This window comes from Homo sapiens, chromosome X (assembly GCF_000001405.40).
Source record: "Homo sapiens chromosome X, GRCh38.p14 Primary Assembly".
Lineage (NCBI taxonomy): Eukaryota > Metazoa > Chordata > Mammalia > Primates > Hominidae > Homo > Homo sapiens.
Genome location: NC_000023.11, coordinates 67,696,541 through 67,723,050, shown reverse-complemented (window position 1 = coordinate 67,723,050; position 26,510 = coordinate 67,696,541). Strand labels below are relative to the sequence as shown.

The window sequence follows — 26,510 nt, the reverse complement described above, 5'->3', positions numbered from 1 at the left end:
AAGCATATTATCATTGGCTCTATCAGGCTGTTCTCCCTGATAAAGCACCCTCCATCGTTTGCTTACAGGCTGCACGGAGTCCAGGAGCTTGGTGAGCTGGTAGAAGCGTCTTGAGCAGGATGTGGGATTTTTTCTTTTGCATGCAATGATACGATCGAGTTCCTTGATGTAGTTCATTCGAAGTTCATCAAAGAATTTTTGATTTTTCAGCCCATCCACTGGAACTGATGTGGGATGAAGACAGAATGGGGAGGGGAAGCATGCCCACGAAGGAGCATTAGACAAAGCACCAAGTTTTCTGACCACAGACTTGACCCCCACCCCCACAGGGAACCATCTACTTGGCTTCCTGTTAGTTGAAGTCTGTGTGCTTGGGGCCTTCAGTCTGTCAGGGAGATCTCAGGGGAAAGGATAGCTGGATCCGATCTGAAAGGAGTCAAGTAAATCAAATTTCCTGAACCTTTTCTTTTTCTACTCTTCTCAGATACTCATTTTTTAGGACCTAAGCTTTTATGTCATTCACAGTAAAACCCTGATTTAGATAACCAAAACACATAGCTTTGAATATCAAATTTTGCCCTTCTCCCTCCGTAGGGGCTAAGAGAGGGCTCTTAGAAAAGATATTAAAGAAAAGTTCCTTGGCTGCCATACAAATCCTATCTGAGTTGCTTACATAGATCTCCTCCTGTTGGCAGAAGAGGAAATCTTTCCAGGAGGAAATGCCTCCTGCTCTACTGCCCTGCAAAGAATACAAGGTGGCCCATGTCTGTTTCTATAGCAGAAGCTATGGAAAAATTCAGAGACCTGCTGTAACCAGTCAAAAAGGCCTTGTCCCAAAGACAGACTGGGGATAGGTGGGGAATCTGATGGAGGTTGACTTCTAGCAAATAAATTGGCTTCTAGTCATGAAATTGTTTCTTGTTAGGAAAATGATGCTGAGAGAGAGTAGAGTGGGGATGGGGAGGGGGAATGAAGAAGGGAAATGTCCAGGAGCTGGCTTTTCCCTAATAATGTTTTAATGGCAAAAGTGGTCCTCTCTGAATCTCTGTGCCCTCAGGGGGCATTCCCTGCACTTCTAGGCACTTACTAATGCTGAAGAGTAGCAGTGCTTTCATGCACAGGAATTCCTGGGGGGTGATTTGGAGCCATCCAAACTCTTGAGAGAGGTGCCTCATTCGGACACACTGGCTGTACATCCGGGACTTGTGCATGCGGTACCTGGGAAGGAGATACACAGAGGAAAAAGGAATGAGGGGAAGTTTACAATAAGCCCAGAGGGAATGTCTCTGATTGCCATCCCTCGCCAGGTTTTCCAAGAAGAGCTTGCTGTTTCTCCTGCTGGTGCTCCAGGGACCAGGAAAAGGTTTTTTTGTTTGTTTGTCTGTTTGTTTGTTTTTTTTCTCTCTCTGTTTTCCAAAATCCTGACACCCTGATAACTACTCATCTTCTCTGGCCAGGATATGGGTTAGCACATGGAATTTCCAGGTCTCTGTGCCCCTTCTGTTTTCTGAGTCAGGGACAGGAAAGCCTAACCAAATGAACACAATGGGGGAGGCACATGGTCTCCCTGACTACAGTTCTAACATCTCAGCTACAGCCAGAATGAGAACCTGCCTTCCAGGCAGCTCAACATGAAGGATTTTTAGGAGAAGCCCCAGTAGTCAGCTCTTAACATCAGGACATCAAGATTTGCAAATGACCCGAAGTGTTTGGTCATCCTGTTGACCCCTTTGCCTCTGGCCTGGAATACTAGAAATTTCATACTTATTCAAAAACTCCCAGTGAAGGAGATTCCACATTGTTCTTTCAAAACGAGTTCCAATGTTAAATCTGCCAGGGAGTGTTTTTGAATGTCTAGTTTAAATGTCCCCTGCTGAAGGGGAGCCCATTCCCTCATATGCTGGCTGCTCCTTACCACAGTTTGGAAACTGTAGACATATGTGAGTTGCATTTATTATAGTCACTTCTGAACAGATCACCACATTATCACCTATAAATTATATGGGGAAGTGGCCAATGCTTGGCCAGCTTTTCAAGGAAGAGCAACCTCTCGGTTCCATGGCTGACCATGGCATACCTCTAAGAGAAGACACAGCATCCTCATGCTAGTAGGCCTTCCAGTTTTCAGCACTTCAAAAATCGTGTGTGTGTGTGTGTGTGTGTGTGTGTGTAAGACAGAAATTGATTGTGCAGCGTGTGCAGAAAGGGAAGGAAATTTGACACCCACTTAAGTGGTGAGGACAAAGACCTCCCAGATGGAGCCTAAAGGCTATGGTTTGACATTTTGGTTTCCAAGCCACTAGCCTACTCCATAGGATGAGCAGGCCTGGTATTGTCTGGGTGGAAGCTCAGCATCCTATCTCAGAGAGATCTTGGCTGTCCTGGAGAAAGAGAGAAGAGGGCAGATGGTGTAGAATTATTCAACTCAGGCTGAAGCCCAACTAGAAAGAGGAAGTGTTTAGATGGTATCACAAATCAATTGAGCAGAACAGTGTTGCTCCAAGCTCTTTCACTGTAGAGAATTTTTTAGTAAGATTGGCTGACCCTGAGGTCTGGCTCTGCTCCAGTCTCCAATGTACTTTCCCACCTCTGTTGATGACAATGCTGCAATCTTTTTACCATTGAAATCACAATGCTGGAATGAGGATTCCTTTAACATTGCTGCAGGCCTCAGGGGCAGAAAAAGTGGGGAATGGAGGAAAGAGAAGGGGAAAGGAAAGAGAAGAAATTCATGGGGGAAGGGGAAAAGAAAGGGGGAAAAGGGGAAAAATACTAGGGAGACAGTTAAAGGAAGGAAGAGAGAGGAGAATGGAGGGTAGAAAAATGAGGCAGGAATGGAATTTAGGAAGAGAACAAGGTTGGTGGGAGTGCAAGAGAGAAAATAAGAGGAGAAATGAAGATTGGAAAACACTGAGCACAGTGCCTGACACATAGCAGGTGTTCAATAAATGACATATAGAAAGGTGCTATTATAATACTCTTCAGCAGTCTCCAGATAAAATTTGCGGCACATAGAAGTTCAGTAATTTGCCCAAGGTCACACAGCTAAGGTTCAAGCTCATTATCCTCACAACATGTGATCTCTACAAAGAGAGAAAGAAAGAAAAAAACAGGGCTGATAATAGAGCTTGGTGTTGAAGAGATCAGCAAATGGGTTGACCTACATTGGACAAGTTCTTCTCTCTCTCTTTGGGTCTGAGGCTCCCCATTAGCACCTTAGGAAGGCTGGCAGGGATTAGTTGCACTCAACTGGAGAGTACTGCCTCTTCAGTGGGTGTCAGAAATGTGTGGGAGCAGTTTGGGCTGTCAGAATGACTGGAATCCTATTTGGTATAGAGTAGGCTGGTGCCAGGTATGTTAACCATATTCTACATAATGACAAAATTATTTTTCCCAATATGTCAACAGAATCCATGTTGAGAAACACTTATCTAGATGTTTGTAGACACCCTGAGAGCTCTAACACAGTGGCTTCCTACAGGAGGAATAGGGGTCCTATTGTTTCAGGAGCCCTGGGTTTGATGGGTCTAGGCCTCTGACCCCGTAGGGAGGCCTTTTTATAAGATGAACAAGACTGGACCAGGAAGCCGAGGTGGGATGCCACATGCTTACTTAGAGGCAGAGAAGGAAATGAGGATTTAGAGAACAACCAATTATCACTTTTCAAAGCTCCAAAGGTCTCAGGGCTCTGGGGAAGGTAGAGCAGGTGCTCATGGAGTTGATTCAACTGCTTAAGGGCAGCAGGGGTTTAAGGATGGGAGATGAACAGTTAGGGGGCTTTTCAAGGCCTGCCCCAGAAGATGGCATCATAGGCAACTTTGCGGAGATCTGAAAACCACAAAGCAGTTTGTGCCAAAAGCCTAGTGGTTATTCTTAGCTTTTGGCTACCAGGCTGGCAGGGTTGGGAGAGGGCAGCTGGGGACGCTCACTCTCCCTCGCATTGCAGTGCTGTACTGGAAGGAACCATTGGCCTGTAGATTTTATTTTAAGACTCTTCTGGGTTAGAGGGCTGAAGAGGGGGGAAGGTCAATTCCTGTCCTGACTGGAAGGATTCTCTGTGGTGAGACTAGCTCAAGGTCCTTGGGAAGATTTCTCTGGCCAGCTCCATTCACAATGCCATCGAGGGACCTCATACAGCAGACATAGAAAAGATTATCATGCCCGGCTGAGGCGGGCAGATCATGAGGTCAGGAGTTTGAGACCAGCCTGGCTAACATGGTGAAATCCCGTCTCTACCAAAAATACAAAAATTAGATGGACACGGTGGCGGGCATCTATAATCCCAGCTACTCGGGAAGCTGAGGCAGGAGAATTGCTTGAACCAGGGAGGTGGAGGTTGCACTGGGCTGAGATCATTGCGCCACTGCCCTCCAGCCTGGGTGGCAGAGCAAAACCCCATCTCGGGGAAAAAAAATGTATCACTATTAGGGAAAGGGTGAATCAGAAAGGGACTTTTTTTTTCCTTCTTGCCTACTATGGGCCAGACATTCCACATCTGTCAATTCCCATTTAGTTATCATAAGAAATTACTTATGAAGGTTCTGTTATCATTAATGGATGAAGAAATTGAGGGTCGGAAAAGTTAAAGGTCTTTCCCAAAGATGCTGACTAAGAAAATAGTAGAACTGAGATTTTAGTGGAGAAAAATGTAATTCCAAAATCTGAGCCACTGGCCAAATTCATGATGTTATATGGAGCTGGTGGCAGGGCAGGTATTAATTAAAGCTGTTTAAGGGAAGGAAAATGGCAGTACCAAGGTCACACAGCCAGAGAGCGGTAGAGGTACTCCTTCCCATCAGTTACCACCATGACGCAGAAGAGCTGAGATCGACAGGGACATACGTTTGAATCTTGTCTCCAACAGGCACTAGCTCTGTGACTTTGGGTGAGTCACTTTATTTTGCTGAGCCTGATTTTCCCCATCCATAAAAAAATAGTGTTATCTATAAAAAGGTGAGGTCAGGTCACCATGAGGACTCAATGAGCTAGGATTTAGAAAGTATCTAGCATAGTCTTGGCACAAACTAGTTGCTCAGCAAATGGTGACTAGAAGTAGCCTTTGGTGGTAGCAAAAGAACCCAAGAAACTCCAGCCCTTAAAGCCAGAGTCTTTCTGCCTCTTTTATATGTGAAGGGGAGGAATCTTTCCATGTGGTTTTGAGATAAGCTGCAAAGCAGACCAGAAATATGACTAGGATTGGTTCTTGGGTGTGAAAGGGGTGGTCTCAGCACCATCCTCCTGGGCTCCTGCCAGTTGGCTGAAAGCCAGGGCAAAGCCGCCTCATACTGGATTGGCTGGCTGGGGCATCCGCTGCGACAACTGCAGATCAAATGAGCTAAGCTTCACTGTCACCCCATCACCATCACCACCAACCAGGTCTGGCCAAGCTGCTGTATTTTAGTGAGGTCTGGGCCCCAGGAGCACTTACTCATTGAAAACCAGATCAGGGGCGAAGTAGAGCATCCTGGAGTTGACATTGGTGAAGGATCGCCAGCCCATGGCAAACACCATGAGCCCCATCCAGGAGTACTGAATGACAGCCATCTGGTCGTCCACGTGTAAGTTGCGGAAGCCTGGAGAAGAAGAGGCAGAGGCAGTGGTCAGTCTGGGTACTGACGGGTTGAGCTAAGTCTGAGTCCCTGTTGGGCAGAGATGCTCTGGTATTCGGGCATCCCCTAAGGATCCCCAGGGACCATCCAGGCTGGCCATTAAGGGGTGGTGGGGAAAAGCACAAACTATATGGTGAGGATAATATTCCTTATCCTCCCTACTTCCCTGAGCTGCTCAAATGAGATGATGATGGAGACAAAAAGGGCATTGTCAGTTGTAAGAGAAAAATAATCTAACACTTATTGACTGCTTATATGAGTGAACTCTTTTTTTCTTTTGCTATTGGATTGCTCTTTTTTAAAAAAATTAAAAATAATTTTGGGTACATGATAGTTGTATGTATTTATGGGGTACATTTAACTCTTTTCTAAGCACTTTACTTATATTATCTCATTTAACATTCACAACAATGAGTAAGGTAAGTACTATTATTATCTCCATTCTGTGAACCAGTACAAGTGAGTCAGAGAGAGGTTAAGGAACTTGTCCAAGATCATACAGCTAGTAATTGGCAGACCAAGTTACAAAGCAAAGCAGTCAGATTCCAAGGTCTGTGCTCTTGATCACTTCACCTTTCCAAAGATGCAGTTTAACAATCATTTCCCCCACATAAACAGCAGTTTTCACTTCACAAAGCTGTTTTCCAGCTACGATCTGGTTTGACCCTTCTAACAACCCTGGGAGATGGATATTACATACAGTGTACAGGGTATGGAGAGATGTCTTGACAGCCACTGCCACCTGTTCACCACTTTCATGTTCCCTCTCTTGCGTCCATCCTCTTTCTGCCTGGCATTTCCTCTCCATTCTTTTCTACTCAATAGGTACCCTGGCCCTACTAATTTCCCACCCTACTGCCATCCTCATCTTACTGCCATCATTATACATGAATAGGCCCTTTATGACCTGCCTACCTAGACTGATCTCTTGCCACTTGCGCTCTCACATGCCTCTATATCTCTGTTATCTCTGCACAGGCAGTTACTTTTGCCTAGAATGCATTCCTCCTTCTCAGGCCTTTCATCCGGTAAACACTACTCATCTTTCAAGTCTTCACTCAAAGGCTACCTCTTCTGTGAAGGCTTTCCCAACTCATCCAAGAAGAAGGCTTAAAGATTCTTCTTTTACATTCTCATTGCACCTTGTGTAGCCTCACCCAATTATAGCAGTCATTACACAGCATTGAAGTCTATGTATATACATGTCTGTCTCCCCCACAAGACTTGGAGCTTCTTGAAGACAGGGACCATATCTTCTTATTTATCTTTACCTCCCTAGTACTTAGTACAGTCCACGTATTTGAGTGGGCACTTAAGAAATATTACCTAAACAAATGGCCTAAAGACCCTCAATTTTTTTTCCTTTTGTAAAATGAGAATTAAATGATCTCCAAATTACCTCCCTTAAGCTCAGAGAGCAGAGGCTCCCAGAAGCTACGTCTACAATAATACACAGGTAGAACAGACATGGCCATGTTCTCCTGGAGTTTTTGAAACAGTTGGATGCTTAAAGTTATAAAGGCATCACCTCAGAGCTCGTCCCTACCAACACTCTCTCTTCTCACCAACAAATCCAGAATTATCTGAAATTTTGTCATCATACCTCATTAGGAATGCTTCCCCAAATTTAGATCAAACTTCTCACTTTCCTGTTGATGACCTAATTTAACTCTCACAATAATCCCAGAGGTTAGGTGATGTGGCACTTATTTTACCAACAAGGAACATGAGGGCCAGAGAAATAAACTGACTTACCCAAGGTCATATGGTTTATATGTGGCTGAACTAATACTAGAACCCAGGTGTTCTGATTCTCTTCTCCAGTGTTTTTTCTACTCCACTAATGAAGGTTACAGCTCAGGAACTACCAAGGTCACCAGCTTTTGTCAGCCATAGGATCAGGTCTGAAGTCTACATTATCCAGACACATTGTTCTGCTTGGTTGGTCCCTGTCCACTCATATAGCCCCATTTCCCTGTTCTTTTCTTTTAGATCCTAGGCCTTCCAGGTATCAGGGATTCTAGAGTCCCTCATCTTAGCAGTCTTAGCTCCCAGGCCTGTGCTTCCCACCTTCACTGTAATGACACGCTGACAGACCGGCTGGAGCCTCAGATCCCAGAGTAGTTCCTGCTTGGAACCCTTCTGTAGCACAGAATGCCTTGGACTGACCCTTCTCAGCAGGAAATAAGAAGCAGGGTCTAAGCATGTAGCAACCAAGGATCTCTTAGAGAAGAGGCCTGGGAGGTTGACCCTGAATATCTTGGGTAGGAGGCAGTGGGGAGCAAGAAAAGCTTTTGGCTGGTGAACCTTGGTCTTCTGGTGGAATGTGTGAATGTGAAGGCACATGGAAGGATGAGAATTAAATTGTACAGGTATCAAGCAAATTGTCCATACTGATGCTTATTTTTTTCTCCCTAAAATGCCACCGAACTAACAAAGAGGAGAGAAAAGGGAAAGCTTAATTTGGCCATAATATTAATTAACCGTCCTTAATGAGAGCTGCTTAGCACTCAAACCCAGTAACTGTGCACATATCAGCAATATGGCTGGCTAACCTCCCTAGAGTCTAATCTGATTATAATACCTGACTCTGTTCTCTAATGCCCAATCTCTGAAGTAGCCTACATGACTATCAAGGGATTACTTGAGGAAAGAGTAGCTGCAACCCTACAGATTTCCTTAAGTATGCATTCACTCAACACCCATTTGCCACTGTGTTAGGCTGTTCTGGAGAAACAGAGAGGAGTCATTCTCAGGTTCTGAAACACATTAAACACGCTAGGGAGCAGAAGCAGTTTCTTTGAGACTCTGTTTTCTCACTAGAATCCGATTGACATCATATTTTTTTCATGTGCAGCAGAAACTTGTAGTCTCCTGTCTAGTCTGGGAGAATGGGCTCAAAGAAAGGCCAGTTTGGAAATCTTTGCTGCTGTAGTACATCTGCCAGCCGAGGTCTTCAGAGAACACAATTTCACCTTGGGGTCCATGCATGAGCTTCTAGGCAAGGCAAGTGGTAGCTAAAATTGAGTTTCGTGAAAGCAGTGGCTTAGCATTCAAGTCTCATAATAATAAACCACCATTTACAGAGCATTGACTATGTTTCAGGCTACGTTACTAGGTGCTCTTTATACATAATCTTTTTGTTGACAACAATTTGAAAGGTAGTGATTATTCTATCATCTTACAAATGAGGACACAGAAGCACAGAGAAGACATGTGATTTGCTCAAGGTCACAGAACTAGTCCATAGCTAGGATTCCAAACCAGATAAATTTGATTCTAAATATACTGTGCACACCCAGTCTACTCACCCACTCCAAATTAACAGTTATCATTTATTAATGTGCCAGGTACTCTACTAGGCAATTTTCATACATCTTTACTGTCACAGAAAACTTAAAACAAAATTTATCTTATTAGGGGCCTAGCACAGTTCATCTTACAGGTCAAGAACTCAATCTATTGAATTAGCAAATTACTTGTACTTGTAGGTAATTATAGATAATATGAAGAACAGTTCTTGTGAATGTGGTAATTGGCTTTCTTTTGAAGCTATTCTTTTAAAAGACTTGGGGTCAGAAATCATTTAGTCTGGCAAGCTAGATGGTGAACTGATATTGGCTTGCAGATTTGTTAATGTAAGGGGAGGGGGCTTTCCATCTTGGTGGTTGGGCCAAGGAAAGCCCCAGTGATCCCAAGTCATACAAATTCTGCTATAGTGTTTTGCACTAGGTTATTGTCAAGATAACCAATTTAGAAACCCGAAGGTCTAGGTCAAGTTCTGGTTCCATGTGTTAAGTGACCAAATGGAGCAAGTTAGTTAACCTCTTTGAGCCTTGGCATGTGAAATGGAAATAATAGTCTCTATGATTCATAGAATTGTTGTAAAGATTAAGTGGGATCATATATATGAAAAAGCTCTGTAGCCTATAAAATGAGATAAGTGTTTGGAAACTGCTTGGGAAGATTAAACTTTGAATCTCTGTCAAACACATGATATCAAAATATCCAGATGAAAAAGTGATAAGAATTAAAGCAACCTTCTCCTTTTTCTTTTTTATATTTTTCCTCTCTGAGTGAACCCTCTGTTTTGGCACAGAGCATATCCAGTCAGAGTCCTTGGGTTTCCTTCCCAGTGTTCTTATTGGCTAGTCGACCTCAGCTTCCCAAGCTGAGAAGGTATAAGAGATGGTTAGGGCTGTGACCAGGCCCTGTGAGTTGGAAATACAAATCTAAGACTTGACAGCCAACATGAAATGTCTTCAAATGCAACAAGCCCATACTATGACCCAAGTGGCCTTCAATGAAGCCTTGGCCCCTCACTGTAAAGCCCAGAGCTACAGAACTGCAGTGGTGCTACAGCCTACAGGTGGAGTGGAATAGAGAGAATTTGGAATCAGGAGAGAACCTGGGCTCAAGTTCTGGTCCTGCTATTTTCTGACTATGTAACTATAGGCCAATCACATCATTCTCACAGCTTCCCTATTTGGTCTGTAAAATAAGAGAAAGAATCTCATGTTATAGGATTCCTATAAGAATCAATTCAGGTAATACATACAAAATTGCTCTGTTCACTATAAATTTCTACCTGAATGGCAGTTATTATTGAAAGGCAGGTTAATCTTTGACTCCACAAGAGAAGGTTTGGTTGTTGTTATTTCAAAAGAATCTTTGAATCATAATTGCAGGATTAGGAGAACCTTTAAAGGGCATATACTTCACTGGTTTTCAAACTGTGTTCCTTGGAGCCCTAAGATTTTGCAAGAGTGACCTAGGGCTTCCCTGGGATAGAGAGAAAGAGGCTGAACTGGTGAGGCCCAAGCTACAGGCTCTGGCTTTAAATAAACTAGCTCCACTTGTATCTGTGTACAATTCTTTTGAGAAATAAAGCACTTGGCTGCTAAAGGAAAGTTTGTGAATCATTGGATAGAGGATCTCTAAGAATTCCTTAAGCTGTAATATTTTAATAACCAGACTTGTTTAAACAACAGATGACATAAGAAAGAAGTGAGTTCCCCATCACTGAGGAACTTCTGTTATCCAACTTCTGTTAGACCAACACTTGGTAATTCTTTCACTATTACCTAATCTTTCCTCTCATTATGATTCCTTAGGTAGTTTAAGGTGCAAAAAGCGTTCCTTTTTTCAAAAACTGGAAACCATCAATTTGATACAAACCACGCTTTATACATTATACAGATAGAGAAATTGAGACCCAGAAGGGGAAGGGATCACACAATAAGTTACTAGCAGAGCTAAGAGCAGACCCGAAGTGTTCTGATTCCCAACCTCATGTTCTTTCCACCATACCATATTATGAGAGTTCCCATGATATAGCTCCTAAAGATGACATTGAAGACAGAATGTCAGTCAAACTAGAGATTATCTTTGGGGTGAGCCTGTGTGTGCAAATATAGAAGAGCATCCTAAGGCATATATGGGTATGTCTATGTGATTTGTGATTAATGGAAAATTTGCTGACCATTTTTGTGAGTTGAATATGAAAGCATGACTGCTGTGCATCAATGTGGGCCACATAAGACACCCGATAATACTATCTTTCTCTTTGCTTTCTGAGTTTCGATCCCTGTATGTTTAAATTGAGACTTGTAACAATCCCTCTCCCACAGGGTTATGATGAAGACTGCCTGAGTTAATGGGCAGAAAAGCACCAGACATGGTGGCTGGTCCATAGGAGCGTTCACTAAATATGATCCCCCTTATCTCATGCTCCCACTTCCCTTTTCCTTACCAGGCAAGGCCTTGGCCCACTTGACCACGTGTACAAGCTGTCTCTCTCCCAGTTCATTGAGGCTAGAGAGCAAGGCTGCAAAGGAGTCGGGCTGGTTGTTGTCGTGTCCAGCACACACTACACCTGGCTCAATGGCTTCCAGGACATTCAGAAAGATGGGCTGACATTCATAGCCTTCAATGTGTGACACTGTCAGCTTCTGGGTTGTCTCCTCAGTGGGGCTGGTGGTGCTGGAAGCCTCTCCTTCCTCCTGTAGTTTCAGATTACCAAGTTTCTTCAGCTTCCGGGCTATTGGGAAGGAAGAGAGACTTGAATTTATCATCAGTGGTCAAAAACACACAATGCAACTACCTTTTTAGAAAAACTGCCCTAGCTAAGAAAATCACCATTCTCCCTGGTCACAGACTCTAAACTCCTTAAGGACAAGTGCTCATTCAACACTGGTTAAATGTATAATTCATCATCCCAAATACCTGCTAAACCCAAATTTTTCATAGCTTGCAGAGGAAAACTCTGATTCTTGTGCTAGACCAACCTAGCATATCCTTGGATCCAGCTCTGCCTGAATGCAGCCTTCAGTATTCATACCTGGAACTTTAATTAACGTATTTACTAATATATTAATGATTCATTTTCGTTCATTCATTCAGCAGATATCCATTGTTAGACCTTTGCTTCTGGGTGACAGAAAAGACACAGGCCCTGGCCCAGTCTGGTAGCCTGGCCACAATCAATTCTAGAAAACGTTGGACTGGAAAATGCTGCAATGGAGGCATCAACAAAATAGGAAAACACTAATCTTTTTACATAGGTGGGTTTAGAAAATGCTTTATATGGAAGATAGTATTTGATAGAATTTGAAGATTGATGAGGATTTCACCAGGCAAAGGTGGGCAGAAAGGGCATAAACAAAAGCACCAAGGAGTGTTCAGGGAAAAACTAGACACTAGTATGGCTGAAACATATGTTGCATATATGGGAAAGTGGTTAATAATGAGGTTGAAAGCAAAGATGGTGCTTGATTTTAAAGGAGCATGTATATCATATTAAGAAATTTGGCTGGGTAAGGTGGTTCATGCCTGTAATCCCAGCATTTTGGGAGGCTGAGATGGGAGGAGTGCTTGAGGCCAGGAGCTCAAGATCAGCCTGAGCAACACCACAAGACAATACACCATCTCCACAAAAAATAGTAAAAAACCAAATTAGCTGGGTCTGGTGGTGCACATCTGTAGTCTCTGCTACTCAGGAGGCAGAGGTGGAAGGATTCCTTGAGCCCAGGGGTTCCAGGCTGCAGTGGGCTATGATTGTGCCACTGATGCTCTAGCCTGGGTGACATAGTAAAACACTGTCTCTAAAAAAATAAAAATAAAAGCTAAGTTTGTATTTTATCATATAAGTGATAGACAAATACTGAATGTTGTAATTCAAAGGAGTGATGTACATGTGTCTATGTCTAGCATGTCTAGCCGATTGCTAGGGAAAGAGACTAGAAATGGAGAATGACTAGACTTGTTCTTTGGGTCCCAGAAAGAACAGTGAATTGGATTTTAGTCTCTCCTTCTCTTTCTGTCTCTCTCTCTCTCTCTAAACACACACACACACACACGCACACTCACACACACATGCACACACAAAAACACACACACATACATTTTGATAGTTAAAGCTCTTGGAGACGGAAAGGTTGGCAGGCACACATATCACTGGAAATGAGAAAATACTAGACACACAGTGGTTAAGAATTCAAGCATCATATGGGAATGGGGTTTTTAAAAGTGGCCTTGAAGGTCCTTTCCATCCTCAGACTATCAAATTCTATCCTATCATTTTGGGCTCAACATATGACAATTTTATGGTATTCCATTTCCCATTGAATACACATAGTTGCTCATAGTTGAACATGCATGATTCATAAGATGGCCGAATAGGAACAGCTCCAGTCTACAGCTCCCAGCGTGAGTGACGCAGAAGATGAGTGATTTCTGCATTTCCGACTGAGGTACCGGGTTCATCTCACTGGGGCTTGTTGGACAGTGGGTACAGGACAGTGGGTGCAGTGCACCAAGTGTGAGCCAAAGCAGGGAGAGGCATCGCCTCACCCGGGAAGTGCAAAGGGTCAGGAAATTCCCTTTCCTAGCCAAGCAAAGCTGTGACAGATGGCACCTGGAAAATTGGGTCACTCCCACCCTAATACTGCACTTTTCCAATGGTCTTAGCAAACGGCACACCAGGAGATTATATCCCACACCTGGCTCGGAGGGTCCCACGCCCATGGAGCATCGCTCACTGCTAGCAGAGCAGTCTGAAATCGAACTGCAAGGCAGCAGTGAGGCTGGGGGAGGGGCACCCGCCATTGCTGAGGCTTGAGTAGGTAAACAAAGCAGCTGGGAAGCTCGAACTGGGTGGAGCCTACCGCAACTCAAGGAGGCCTGCATGCCTCTGTAGACTCCACCTCTGGGGGCAGGGCATAGCCGAACAAAAGGCAGCAGAAACCTCTGCAGACTTAAATGTCCCTGTCTGACAGCTTTGAAGAGAGTAGTGGTTCTCCCAGCACACAGCTGGAGATCTGAGAACGGACAGACTGCCTCCTCAAGTGGCTCCCTGACCCCCGAGTAGCCTAACTGGGAGACACCCACCAGTAGGGGCAGACTGATACCTCACATGGCTAGGTACCCCTCTGAGACGAAACTTCCAGAAGAATGAGTAGGCAGCAACATTTGCTGTTCAGCAATATTCGCTGTTCTGAGCCTCTGCTGCCGACACCCAGGCAAACAGGGTCTAGAGTGGACCTCCAGCAAACTCCAACAGACCTGCAGCTGAGGGTCCTGACTGTTAGAAGGAAAACTAACAAACAGAAAGGACATCCACACCAAAATCCCATCTGTATGTCACCATCATCAAAGACCAAAGGTAGATAAAACCACAAAGATGGGGAAAAAACAGAGCAGAAAAACTGAAACATTCTAAAAATCAGAGCCCCTCTTCTCCTCCAAAGGAACACAGCTCCTCACCAGCAACAGAACAAACCTGGACGGAGAATGACTTTGATGAGTTGAGAGAAGGCTTCAGATGACCAAATTTCTCCAAGCTAAAGGAGGAAGTTTGAACCCATCGCAAAGAAGTTAAAAACCTTGAAAAAAGATTAGACGAATGGCTAACTAGAATAATCAATGTAGAGACGGCCTTAAATGACCTGATGGAGCTGAAAACCATGGCACGAGAACTATATGACGAATGCACAAGCTTCAGTAGCTGATTCGATCAACTGGAAAAAAGGGTATCAGTGATTGAAGATCAAATGAATGAAATGAAGCGAGAAGAGAAGTTTAGAGAAAAAAAGAGTAAAAAGAAACGAACAAAGCCTCCAAGAAATATGGGACTATGTGAAAAGACCAAATCTACATCTGATTGGTGTACCTGAAAGTGACAGGGAGAATGGAACCAAGTTGGAAAACACTCTGCAGGATATTCCCCAGGAGAACTTACCCAACCTAGCAAGACAGGCCAACATTCACATTCAGGAAATACAGAGAACGCCACAAAGATACTCCTCGAGAAGAGCAACTCCAAGACACATAATTATCAGATTCGCCAAAGTTGAAATGAAGGATACAATGTTAAGGGCAGCCAGAGAGAAAGGTCGGGTTACCCACAAAGGGAAGCCATCAGACTAACAGTGGATTTCTTGGCAGAAACTCTACAAGCCAGAAGAGAGTGGGGGCCAATATTCATCATTCTTAAAGAAAAGAATTTTCAACCCAGAATTTCATATCCAGCCAAACTAAGCTTCATAAGTGAAGGAGAAATAAAATACTTTAAAAACAAGCAAATGCTGAGAGATTTTGTCACCACCAGGCCTGCACTACAGGAGCTCCTGAAGGAAGCACTAAACATGGAAAGGAACAACCGGTACCAGCCACTGCAAAAACATGCCAAATTGTAAAGACCATCGAGGCTAGGAAGAAACTGCATCAACCAACGAGCAAAAGAACCAGCTAACATCACAATGACAGGATCAAATTCACATATAACAATATTAACCTTAAACGTAAATATTAACCTAAATGCTCCAATTAAAAGACACAGACTGGCAAATTGGATAAAGAGTCAAGACCCATCAGTGTGCTGTATTCAGGAAACCCATCTCATGTGCAGAGACACATATAGGCTCAAAACAAAGGGATGGAGGAAGATCTACCAAGCAAATGGAAAACCAAAAGAGGCAGGGATTGCAATGCTAGTCTCTGATAAAACAGACTTTAAACCAACAAAGATCAAAAGAGACAAAGAAGGCCATTACATAATGGTAAAGGGATCAGTTCAACAAGAAGAACTAACTATCCTAAATATATATGCACCAATACAGGAACAACCAGATTCATAAAGTGATTACTTAGAGACCTACAAAGAGACTTAGACTCCCACACAATAATCAAGGGAGACTTTAACACCCCACTGTCAACATTAGACAGATCAACAAGACACAAAGGATATCCAGGAATTGAACTCAGCTCTGTACCAAGTGGACCTAATAGACTTATACAGAACTCTCCACCCCAAATCAACAGAATATACATTCTTCTCAGCACCACACCACACCTATTCCAAAATTGACCACTGAGTTGGAAGTAAAACACTCCTCAGCAAATGTAAAAGAACAGAAATTATAACAAACTGTCTCTCAGACCACAGTGCAATCAAACTGGAACTCAGGATTAAGAAACTCACTCAAAACCACTCTACTACATGGAAACTGAACAACCTGCTCCTGAATGACTACTGGGTACATAATGAAATGAAGGCAGAAATAAAGATGTTCCTTGAAACCAATGAGAACAAAGACACAACATACCAGAATCTCTGGGACACATTTAAAGTAGTGTGTAGAGGGAAATTTATAGCACCAAATTCCCACAAGAGAAAGCAGGAAAGATCTAAAATTGACACCCTAACATCACAATTAAAAGAACTAGAGAAGGAAGAGCAAACACATTCAAAAGCTAGCAGAAGGCAAGAAATAACCAAGATCAGAGAAGAACTGAAGGAGATAGAGACATGGGAAACCCTTCAAAAAATCAATGAATCCAGGAGCTGGTTTTTTGAAAAGATCAACAAAATTGATAGACTGCTGGCAAGACTAATAAAGAAGAAAAGAGAGAAAAATCAAATAGATGCAATAAAAAATGATAAAGGGGAGATCACCACCGATCCCACAGAAATACAAACTACCATCAGAGAATACTATAAATACCTCTATGCAAATAAACTAGAAAATCTAGAAGAAATGGATAAATTCCTCGACACATACACCCTCCCAAGACTAAACTAGGAGGAAGTTGAATCTCTTAATAGACCAATAACAGGTTCTGAAATTGAGGCAATAATTAATAGCTTACCAGCCAAAAAAAGTCCAGGACTAGATGGATTTCACAGCTGAATTCTACCAGAGGTACAAGGAGGAGCTGGTACCATTCCTTCTGAAACCATTCCAATCACTAGAAAAAGAGGGAATCCTCCCTAACTCATTTTATGAGGCCAGCATCATCCTGATACCAAAGCCTGGCAGAGACACAACAAAAAAAGAGAATTTTACACCAATATCCCTGATGAATATCGATGCAAAAAACCTCAATACAATACTGGCAAACTGAATCCAGCAGCACATCAAAAAGCTTATCCACCATGATCAAGTGGGCTTCATCCCTGGGATGCAAGACTGGTTCCACATATGCAAATCAATAAATGTAATTGAGCATACAAACAGAACCAAAGACAAAAACCACATGATTATCTCAATAGATGCAGAAAAGGCCTTTGACAAAATTCAACAGCCCTTCATGCTAAAAACTCTCAATAAATTAGGTATTGATGGGACGTATCTCAAAATAATAAGAGCTATTTATGACAAACCCACAGCCAATATCATACTGAATAGGCAAAAACTGGAAGCACTCCCTTTGAAAACTGGCACAAGACAGGGATGCCCTCTCTCACCATTCCTATTCAACATAGTGTTGGAAGTTCTGGCTAGGACAATCAGGCAGCAGAAAGAAATAAAGGGTATTCAATTAGGAAAAGAGGAAGTCAAATTGTCCCTGTTTGCCGATGACATGATTGTATATCTAGAAAACCCCATTGTCTCAGCCCAAAATCTCCTTAAGCTGATAAGCAACTTCAGCAAAGTCTCAGGATACAAAATCAATGTGCAAAAATCACAAGCATTCTTATACACCAATAACACACAAACAGAAGCCAAATCATGAGTGAACTCCCATTCACAACTGCTTCTAAGAGAATAAAATACCTAGGAATCCAACTTACAAGGGACGTGAAGGACCTCTTCAAGGAGAACTACAAACCACTGCTCAATGAAATAAAAGAGGATACAAAGAAATGGAAGAACATTCCATGCTCATGGGTAGGAAGAATCAATATCGTGAAAATGGCCATACTGCCCAAGGTAATTCATAGATTCAATGCCATCCCCATCAAGCTATCAATGACTTTCTCCACAGAATTGGAGAAAACTACTTTAAAGTTCATATGGAACCAAAAAAGAGCCTGCATTGCCAAGACAATCCTAAGCCAAAAGAACAAAGCTGGAGGTATCACGCTACCTGACTTCAAACTATACTACAAGGCTACAGTAACCAAAACAGCATGATACTGGTACCAAAACAGAGATATAGATCAATGGAACAGAACAGAGCCCTCAGAAATAATGCTGCGTATCTACAACCATCTGATCTTTGACAAACCTGACAAAAACAAGAAATTGGGAAAAGATTCCCTATTTAACAAATGGTGCTGTGAAAACTGGTTAGCCATATGTAGAAAGCTGAAACTGGATCCCTTCCTTACACCTTATAGAAAAATTAATTCAAGATGGATTCAAGACTTAAATGTTAGACCTAAAACCATAAAACCCTAGAAGAAAACCTAGGCAATACCATTCATGACATAGGCACCGGCAAGGACTTCATGTCTAAAACACCAAAAGCAATGGCAACAAAAGCCAAAATTGACAAATGGGATCTAATTAAACTAAAGAGCTTCTACACAGCAAAAGAAACTACCATCAGAGTGAACAGGCAACCTACAGAATGGGAGAAAATTTTTTCCATCTACTCATCTGACAAAGGGCAAATACCCAGAATCTACAAAGAACTCAAACAAATTTACAAGAAAAAAACAAACAACCCCATCAAAAAGTGGGCAGAGGATATTAACAGATACTTCTCAAAAAAAGACATTTATGCAGCCAACAGACACATGAAAAAATGCTCATCATCACTGGCCATCAGAGAAATGCAAATCAAAACCACAATGAGATACCATCTCACACCAGTTAGAATGGCGATCATTAAAAAGTCAGGAAACAACAGGTGCTGGAAAGGATGTGGAGAAATAGGAACACTTTTACACTGTTGGTGGGACTGTAAACTAGTTCAACCATTGTGGAAGTCAGTGTGGTGATTCCTCAGGGATCTAGAACTAGAAATACCATTGCACCCAGCCATCCCATTATTGGGTATATACCCAAAGGATTATATGTCATGCTGCTCTAAAGGTACATGCACACATATGTTTATTGTGGCACTATTCACAATAGCAAAGCCTTGGAACCAACCCAAATGTCCATCAATGATAGACTGGATTAAGAAAATGTGGCATATATACACCATGGAATACTATGCAGCCATAAAAAATGATGAGTTCATGTCCTTTGTAGGGACATGGATGAAGCTGGAAACCATCATTCTCAGCAAACTATCTCAAGGACAAAAAGCCAAACACTGCATGTTCTCACTCACAGGTGGGAATTGAACAATGAGAACACCTGGACACAGGAAGGGGAACATCACACACTGGGGCCTGTTGTGGGGTTGGGGAAGGGTGGAGGGATAGCATTAGGAGATATACTTAATGTAAATAAGGAGTTAATGGGTGCAGCACACCAACTTGGCACATGTATACATATGTAACAAACCTGCAAGTTGTGCACACGTACCCTAGAACTTAAAGTATAATAAAAAATATTTAAAAAAATGCACTGTAACATACATATTGATTTTTTTCTTTTTTAGCAAAGGGGAGAAGAGCGGTGAAAGGCTGAAGTCCTCAATAGTATCAAAGAAGTGAGAGAATCTTTCTGCCTCTGCCATCAGTCTGTAAAATGGGAACTATGCTAGGAGACAGTCATTGGAAAGAATGATAGAAATAACATTATTTAAGACAACCACAATAATCCAAAACTCAAACCTTAAGAACCATCTTCCCCATGTGCTCACACACACAATTTAGAGGTCCTTAGGCATTCCGATGCTTACTTTGTACTATTTTTTCCAGTATTTATATAGACAGAAATATAAATAATTGAAAAGGTCATAATTCTGAGGTCTAGCATAAGCAGTTGCACTGAGAAAGACCATGAACCACTTTAATCCCTTTAACATAATAATAATAAATAAGAAAGGTAGAAACCAAAGAGAGAATTTTATTGCTCAATTTAAATGGATAAATACAACAAAACCTGCTCTCATCTGTGTCTGGCCCCTGTGAAAAAAGATACAACCTGGAACTGACTTTTTTTTTAGTTTTTATTTATTTTTTGAAGGAGGATCTTCCTCTGTCACCCAGCTGGAGAGCAGTGGCACGATCAAAGCTCACTGTAGCCTCAACTTCCTGGGCTCAAGCAATTCTCCCTCCTCAGTCTCCCAAGTAGCTGGGACCAGAGTTGTACACTACCACTCCTGGTTAACATTTTTTGTAGAGATGGGATCTCACTATGTTGTCCAGGCTGGACTCAAACTCCTGGCCTTAAGCAATCCTCCCATCTCGGCCTCCCAAAGTGCTGGGATTATAGGCGTGAGCCACCACACCCAGCCTGGAACTGACTTTTAGTTCTAATTAGAAAAAGAAGTCCTTCAATGCAAACTCCAGTCATGGTGTCACCCAATAAATCACTGCAAGAATGGATTACATGTTTGGACCAACAACTAGGGTAGGGAAGAGGAAAATAGTGGGGTTGGTGTTGCAAGAGGAACACAGAAGAACTCAGGGGAAAATAACAAGGAAGCCTGGAAAACCAGCCCTGAGTGCAAGATGACTTTGTCCAACAATCATTTCTGCGGGGCTTTGGCACAGCCAGTAATAAGGAGATATGCATAGCCACTGCCAACACCCACATCCCACCAAAGGCACAGGCTGCAAGGTATGATCTGGGCCAAGACCATCTTCTTGAGTTAGAGGCCTGAACCCCACAATAACTTGTCATTTGGTGGGCTTATTGCAAACATGAGTTCTTGGACACAGCTCCACAGACTGGTGGCCTACAGGATCTGCTCCCCTGCTACAGTTCCTACAGAAAGACCCCATCTTCCCCATTACTGGACCTTTCTAGCTTTGAGCTCGGGAGTTGCCAGACCATTTAGTCCCCTTAAGGGTAACTACTAATTTTTTCAGGGCCTTCTGCGTGCCTCGCTTCATCACATTACATCACTTAATTCCACATGATCTTAGGAGGTTAAAGATATTTCTTATCCCTATTTTACAAATGAATAAACTGAGGTAACACAGCTATAAAAAAGGTGAGAACCCAATCATCTGAACCTCATCTTCTGATTATAAAGCCCATATTCTCTCTACTGCCTCCCCAAGGAATCTGAAGCCCTGAACCCTACTTCTAACTCAAAAGCAGAGTTGAGGAGTGGGGCTGGGGTTATATCATCCCTGCCTCCCTTCTTCACCCTTGACTCCAAACTTCATAACTAGTATCAAATCCAGAAGGGAATAGACAGGAGGCTATGAGAATACTCCAGTCATCTGCCCAAACTGGAATAGATTTGGGACACTATAGTGGCTTAAAGATTTTCAGCATGACAAAACAGGAAGGGTCCTTAGAAATTATCTTATCCAATGGTGACAGATTAAAAGATCTTCAGGCTCTACATAGGCAATACAGTAGGGTGTGTGTGCATGTGTGTGTGTGTGTGTGTGTGTGTGTGTGTGTGTGAATGGTTAGTACACTGGTGAATTGAAATGAATGCCTTACTGCCTTCCCATGCTTGTGCATGGGCACATGTCTGCAAGCGTGCATACACACACCTAGAAGGCATTAATAGATTTTTAAAAAATTCCTGAAACTTGTGTATCCCAAAATTGAATTCAGTCCATAGCCACCATTTTGGGACTTTCGACGTTAGTTAGTTTAACCTTTCAAGTCAAAGATGGGGAGGCTGAAGCCAGAGAGGGCAAGGTCACCTAGTGGCAGAGCTGAGATTAGAGCCAGGGCTCTAATTCCCAATCCAGAATTCCCTATGTTACATTGGCTCTCTTTTTGACTTATTCCTGCTGTATCTCAGCATGTGTCTCTCTGAGATCCTTCTAGACTTGTACTGTCCAGTATAGTAGCCAACTAGCCACATGTGGGCTACGTAAGTTTAGTTTAATTATTAAACTATAAAATAGAAAGCAAAAATTTTAAAAAATTAAATTAATTACAACATTAAAAAATTAAAAATATAATCCCTCAGTCTCACCTGCCACATTTCCAGTGTTCAAAAGCTACATGTAGTTAGTGGCTGTATTATATTGTACAACATAAGATATAGAAGATTTTCATCATCTCAGAAAGTTCTACTGAATAATGCTGTGAATGTACACTGTTCTCTGGGGCAACTTTCCCATTTGCAATACCCCACTAAAGCTATTGATAAAGAAGAAATAAATCCAAATGAATTACACACAAATGAATCCATGGACTTTTTCAAAAGGTGGAGGGACACACAGAGCAATTGGTGACAGTGAGATCAGTGAGATATAATCTGTCGCCTCGACTTTCCCACCAATGACTCAGATCTCCCTGGGATGATGACTCGTGAACCTAAGCAAACTCATTACAAGTAAGATCAATATGTGCAGAGACTGTGGGGAGAATCCATCAAGATGAAATAATTCCCCTTTCTCTGTATAGTGCCAATGAGAACTTGGCTGGTATTCTCACATCCTCCTCCCCAGGCCTATATGGCATCTGCTTAAGGAAGAAAAACTGCATTCCCACTTGCCTCCAGGACCCAGGTAGTGTGCTTGTCCCTGTGACCACAGTGGCCCTAGCTGCACCAGGTGTTCTGGCTTCTCTGCCTAAAGAGAGTGACTATACTGAACGTAATTGAAATCAGACTCCATTCATTCTGCCGGGGGATCCTCTGTTCTGTCTGCAGCAGAGACCAGGATGTTGCTAGACGACTTGGAATCCTGGACAATGAGGCTTGCTAGTCTCAGCTGTTACTCAGTATCCAAGGACTTCTTTTCTTCCATGAAGGCCATCCTTATGCCCCTCCTGCCCTCTGCACCTGAGCCCCAGAGTCAAATCTAATTCTTTCATATAAGATACAGGTCAGCTTGCCACTGTGTCAAGGCAGAGACTCATTGGTTTACTTAAATGGAGTGATAAAGCAAAGAGAAAGGGGGAAGTATAAGTGGATAGTTTTAATAGTATGTGAGTTCACTATCTCTGCCCTGTTAGTCTTGGGTCAGAGCAGTGACAAGAAAGGGCCATTGGCAAGGGGCTTTCCAGTCCATACCTCCTCTTTAGGAGATTGTAACACCTGGCCTGATATCATGCCTGGATGGATCCTATGGGGAACTAACTTTTCAGCCCTGGGGCATTAGACCCCTGTGGGAGCTATCTATAGCACCAGAGAAAAAAATTTCAAATCAGGTTCCATGGATCATTCCTAGGGAGGAGCAGATGTAACCAATCTGTAACTTCTTTAGCGTCCTTAACCTTTAGGTACTGTTCCAGTCTCACTCCTGGCCACTCCAAGATATAGGCCTTCTCAACCATGATTAAGGAAAAGGTGAAAGTGGCGTGAAGTTTCCAAAGTCTTAGGAAGTTTGAATCCCTTTACCTAAGGTCAAGGATGTGATGTTTCTGTTCTCCCTATCTCACTATGAAATTTGACACATGAAAAGAATCAACATCTGTAGTAGGCTGACTTCTAAGACGGTCCCCGAGATTCTGAGACCTTAGTTTCCAGTCATTCAGTCAAGCACTAACCTAGATGCTGTTGTAAAAAGGCTAGGTAGATGTAATGAAGGTGCTAATTCAGTTGAATTTGAAGGGTGGCTATTCTTGATGTACCTGACCTCATCAGGTGAGCCCTTACGGGACTGGGATCCTCCAGGAAAGACATCCGTAGAGTGAGAAACATTCAACACAAGGAAGAGTCTCTGTTGTTGGCTTTGAAGGCGTTGGGGTCCACATGATAAGGAAAGAGGGCAGCCTCCAAGAGCTGAGAATGGCCCTTGGCTGGTAGCCAGAAAGGAAGAGGGAGCCTTAGTCCTACAACCACAAATAACTGAATCCTGCAATAATTACATGAGCTTGGAAGAGAACCCTGAGCTTCAGATTAGAATGCATCCTGGTAAACACATCAGTTTCATCCTTCAGAGACCCTGAACTGAGAATCTAGCCATGCTGTGCCAGACTTCTGACTTACAAAACAGTGAGCTGATAAATGTTTGAAGCTGCTAAATTTGTGGCAATGTGTTATGCAGTAATAGAAAATGAATACATCTTCCTTGTAAGGAACTGTGGTGTAGGGCAAAAGAATAGGCTCTGGAGTCCAACAGTCTTGCGTTCAAATCCCGGCTCCGTTAATTACTACCTTAATGACTTTGAGGTCTTTGTTCAGCTTCTCTGAGATTTAGTTTCCTCATTTATAAAACGAATGTGCTGCTACCTGTCTCTTAGGACACTTATGAGAACTAAATGAGAGGATGCTTGGGACACAGTGAACCCTCCAAACTGGTTTTCACTCTCCATTCATTCCTAAAGATTAACCAGTGAATGGCTTGCAGGGGCCCTAACTCAGGCATGAAGAATGGCAGAAAGCAGGATTGACAGGGGTCCAGACACAGCAGGGAAAGCAAGGGTGAGACAGTATGAAACAAAAAACAATAACTGAGGTTCTTCCACACATGAATGCCTGTGAAACTAAATTCTGATCTTAAATCTAATTCTAAACACTAAGTAAACATAAAGGTGTGTTTGGTGTAGGGCTACAAATTCTTTGTGAAGCTAGACTAGGCTATACTTTTGTGAATGCATGTGTGCAGTGCTTATATATTGCAATGCTTAAATCTAAAAGTCATAAACTCAAATACCTTCACAAGTCAGGCAGACACATAAATGAGTAAAAAAGCCTGGCAAACATAAATAAGGAGGGCTGGGGACAATGACAGTGATTGATGCCCTGCCTAGGGGCAGTCTACGTCAATTTTCTAAACAAACACTGTGCTGGACAAACAGAATTCTGCAGGTGAATTCTGGCTCTGGGGAAGCCAGTTTGTGGCCTCTGGCTTAAATCATGCCAGCCATCTTTCCATCTACTAGGATTAGAGTCAAGGGACCTTACTGTATAACTTTAGGATTAGAAGGTCAGAGGAATACTGGATTGTGAGTCAGGGGAGCTCACTGTGGGGCCTCAGGGACATCTTTCCCTCTTTTGCTTTTAGTTTCCTTACATATGTATAAAGAGTAGTAGTTAAGAGCAAATATTCTGGAGTCAGGATGCCTCATTTGTAACTCCGGCTCTATCACTGACTAGCTGTGTGACTTTGGGCAAGACTTAGCCTCTTGGTATCTCAGTTAACTAATTTGTAAAATGGGGATAATATCATTACTTAATTCATAAGTTTGTTATGAGGGATAAAGACACTGTGGTGTTGTCTGAGAGTAGAAGGCAGATTCTGTACCACCAGGACTCCAAGATTAAAGCATGGTGAAAAAGTGCACTGAACTCCAGGAGGCAGAATGCAATAATGACACTGAAGTTCTAAAATGCTTTTCACATAAAAGGTTTATTATTCTTGATGGTGGTATTCAGAGTCTTATGGAATGTGTGACCTTGAACAGATCTCTTGATTTCTCCTACACCTCAGTTTTTCTCATCTATATAATGGTGATGATATGACTGGACTACTGCATAGGACTATTTTTAGGAGGAAATGAGATGAACCCAGTGAAGGTACTCTGCACCATGTGACAGTGTATGCTAATGGGCAGGTTCTGACTTTTTCTAAGAATGGATCTCTAGCTAGAAATCACTCTGAAAGACTGCTTATGGTGGTAAACTGTGAAAAGTATAACCTTCCATGTTGGGCAACTGGTCTCAAGTCAAAGATTGAGAGTCATGCTGGCAGGTTTCAGAATCTTAAGATAATAACAGATCTACCTCACAAGGTTGTTGTGAGTTTTCGGATGAGTATGTGTGTAAGATGCTTAGAACAGAGTAAATTCTGCAAGCCAATCAATGATGTTTTTTACTATTGCTAGTTACTGAGCCCCACATTCTCCACTTCATGACCTTTACCCCAAGCAGGTGAACTTTCTGAAAAAGTGAACTGATGAAACATATAGAGTTTCACAAGGACTGAAATGTAACATAAGAGAGACTTGGCAGATCCCCAACAGTCCTATAAGTCCTATAAGTTTTTTCGAGGGTTCCTGAGAGGGGGCAAAGTGGGCCTGAGCATGTGGCTCCAAGCACCCCACTTCCTTTCAAACAAGAACAGCAGTATTTTATTCTGTAGGTAAATTTGGGACTCTGCATCAAATTTTGTTTGAAGAAAAGGACCCATTTCCAAAAAAGAGTTCAAAGGCCTTGGATCTTGTCTATCCCTTCCTTCCTCCTCCAAACCAATTCTTAAAGACTGTTCAGACTGAAGAGCAAAGGTTAAGTCATGCCCCAGGTCACACAGCTAGATAATGGTAGAGCAGGAGCTAAAACTAAGGTATCCTGACTTCCAGGGTGGTGCTACTCTTTATATTTCATCGGGTTGAATAGCATCTTACTGGAGAGAAGGATCAGTAGTGGGAAATGGAGATAGGTGAGGAAGAACTAGGACAGGGATGAGAAGCAGGGAGCAGAGCCAATCCTTGGCAGGTATGGAGTGAGGGATTAGTAGGGAGTGCAACCAAATGGGATTAATAAGTGCATGCCAAATTCCCCCAGGCAAGAAGGCTCCTTGATTCTTTCCCCCAAGTCTCCAATCCCCTCCCAGCCCCAATTCTGGGTCAGAGAAATGGCCAGGCAAAAGAATATCAAATTTTATCTTTCAAGGTTTATGTTGGACTATTTAGT

At 42.6% G+C, this 26,510-nt stretch overlaps 1 protein-coding gene across 2 annotated transcripts in view; it reads right to left on the bottom strand.

Moving 5' to 3' along the window:
- AR (androgen receptor) overlaps positions 1-26,510 on the bottom strand; it is a 186,599-nt gene that overhangs the window by 7,569 nt on the left and 152,520 nt on the right. For both annotated transcript variants that reach the window (NM_000044.6, NM_001011645.3), the window contains 4 exons: positions 11,362-11,649; positions 5,429-5,573; positions 1,088-1,218; positions 67-224 (listed from right to left, as the gene is read on the bottom strand). In NM_000044.6, coding sequence (NP_000035.2) covers positions 67-224; positions 1,088-1,218; positions 5,429-5,573; positions 11,362-11,649 — 722 coding nt within the window. The remainder of the gene's footprint in view (positions 1-66; positions 225-1,087; positions 1,219-5,428; positions 5,574-11,361; positions 11,650-26,510) is intronic.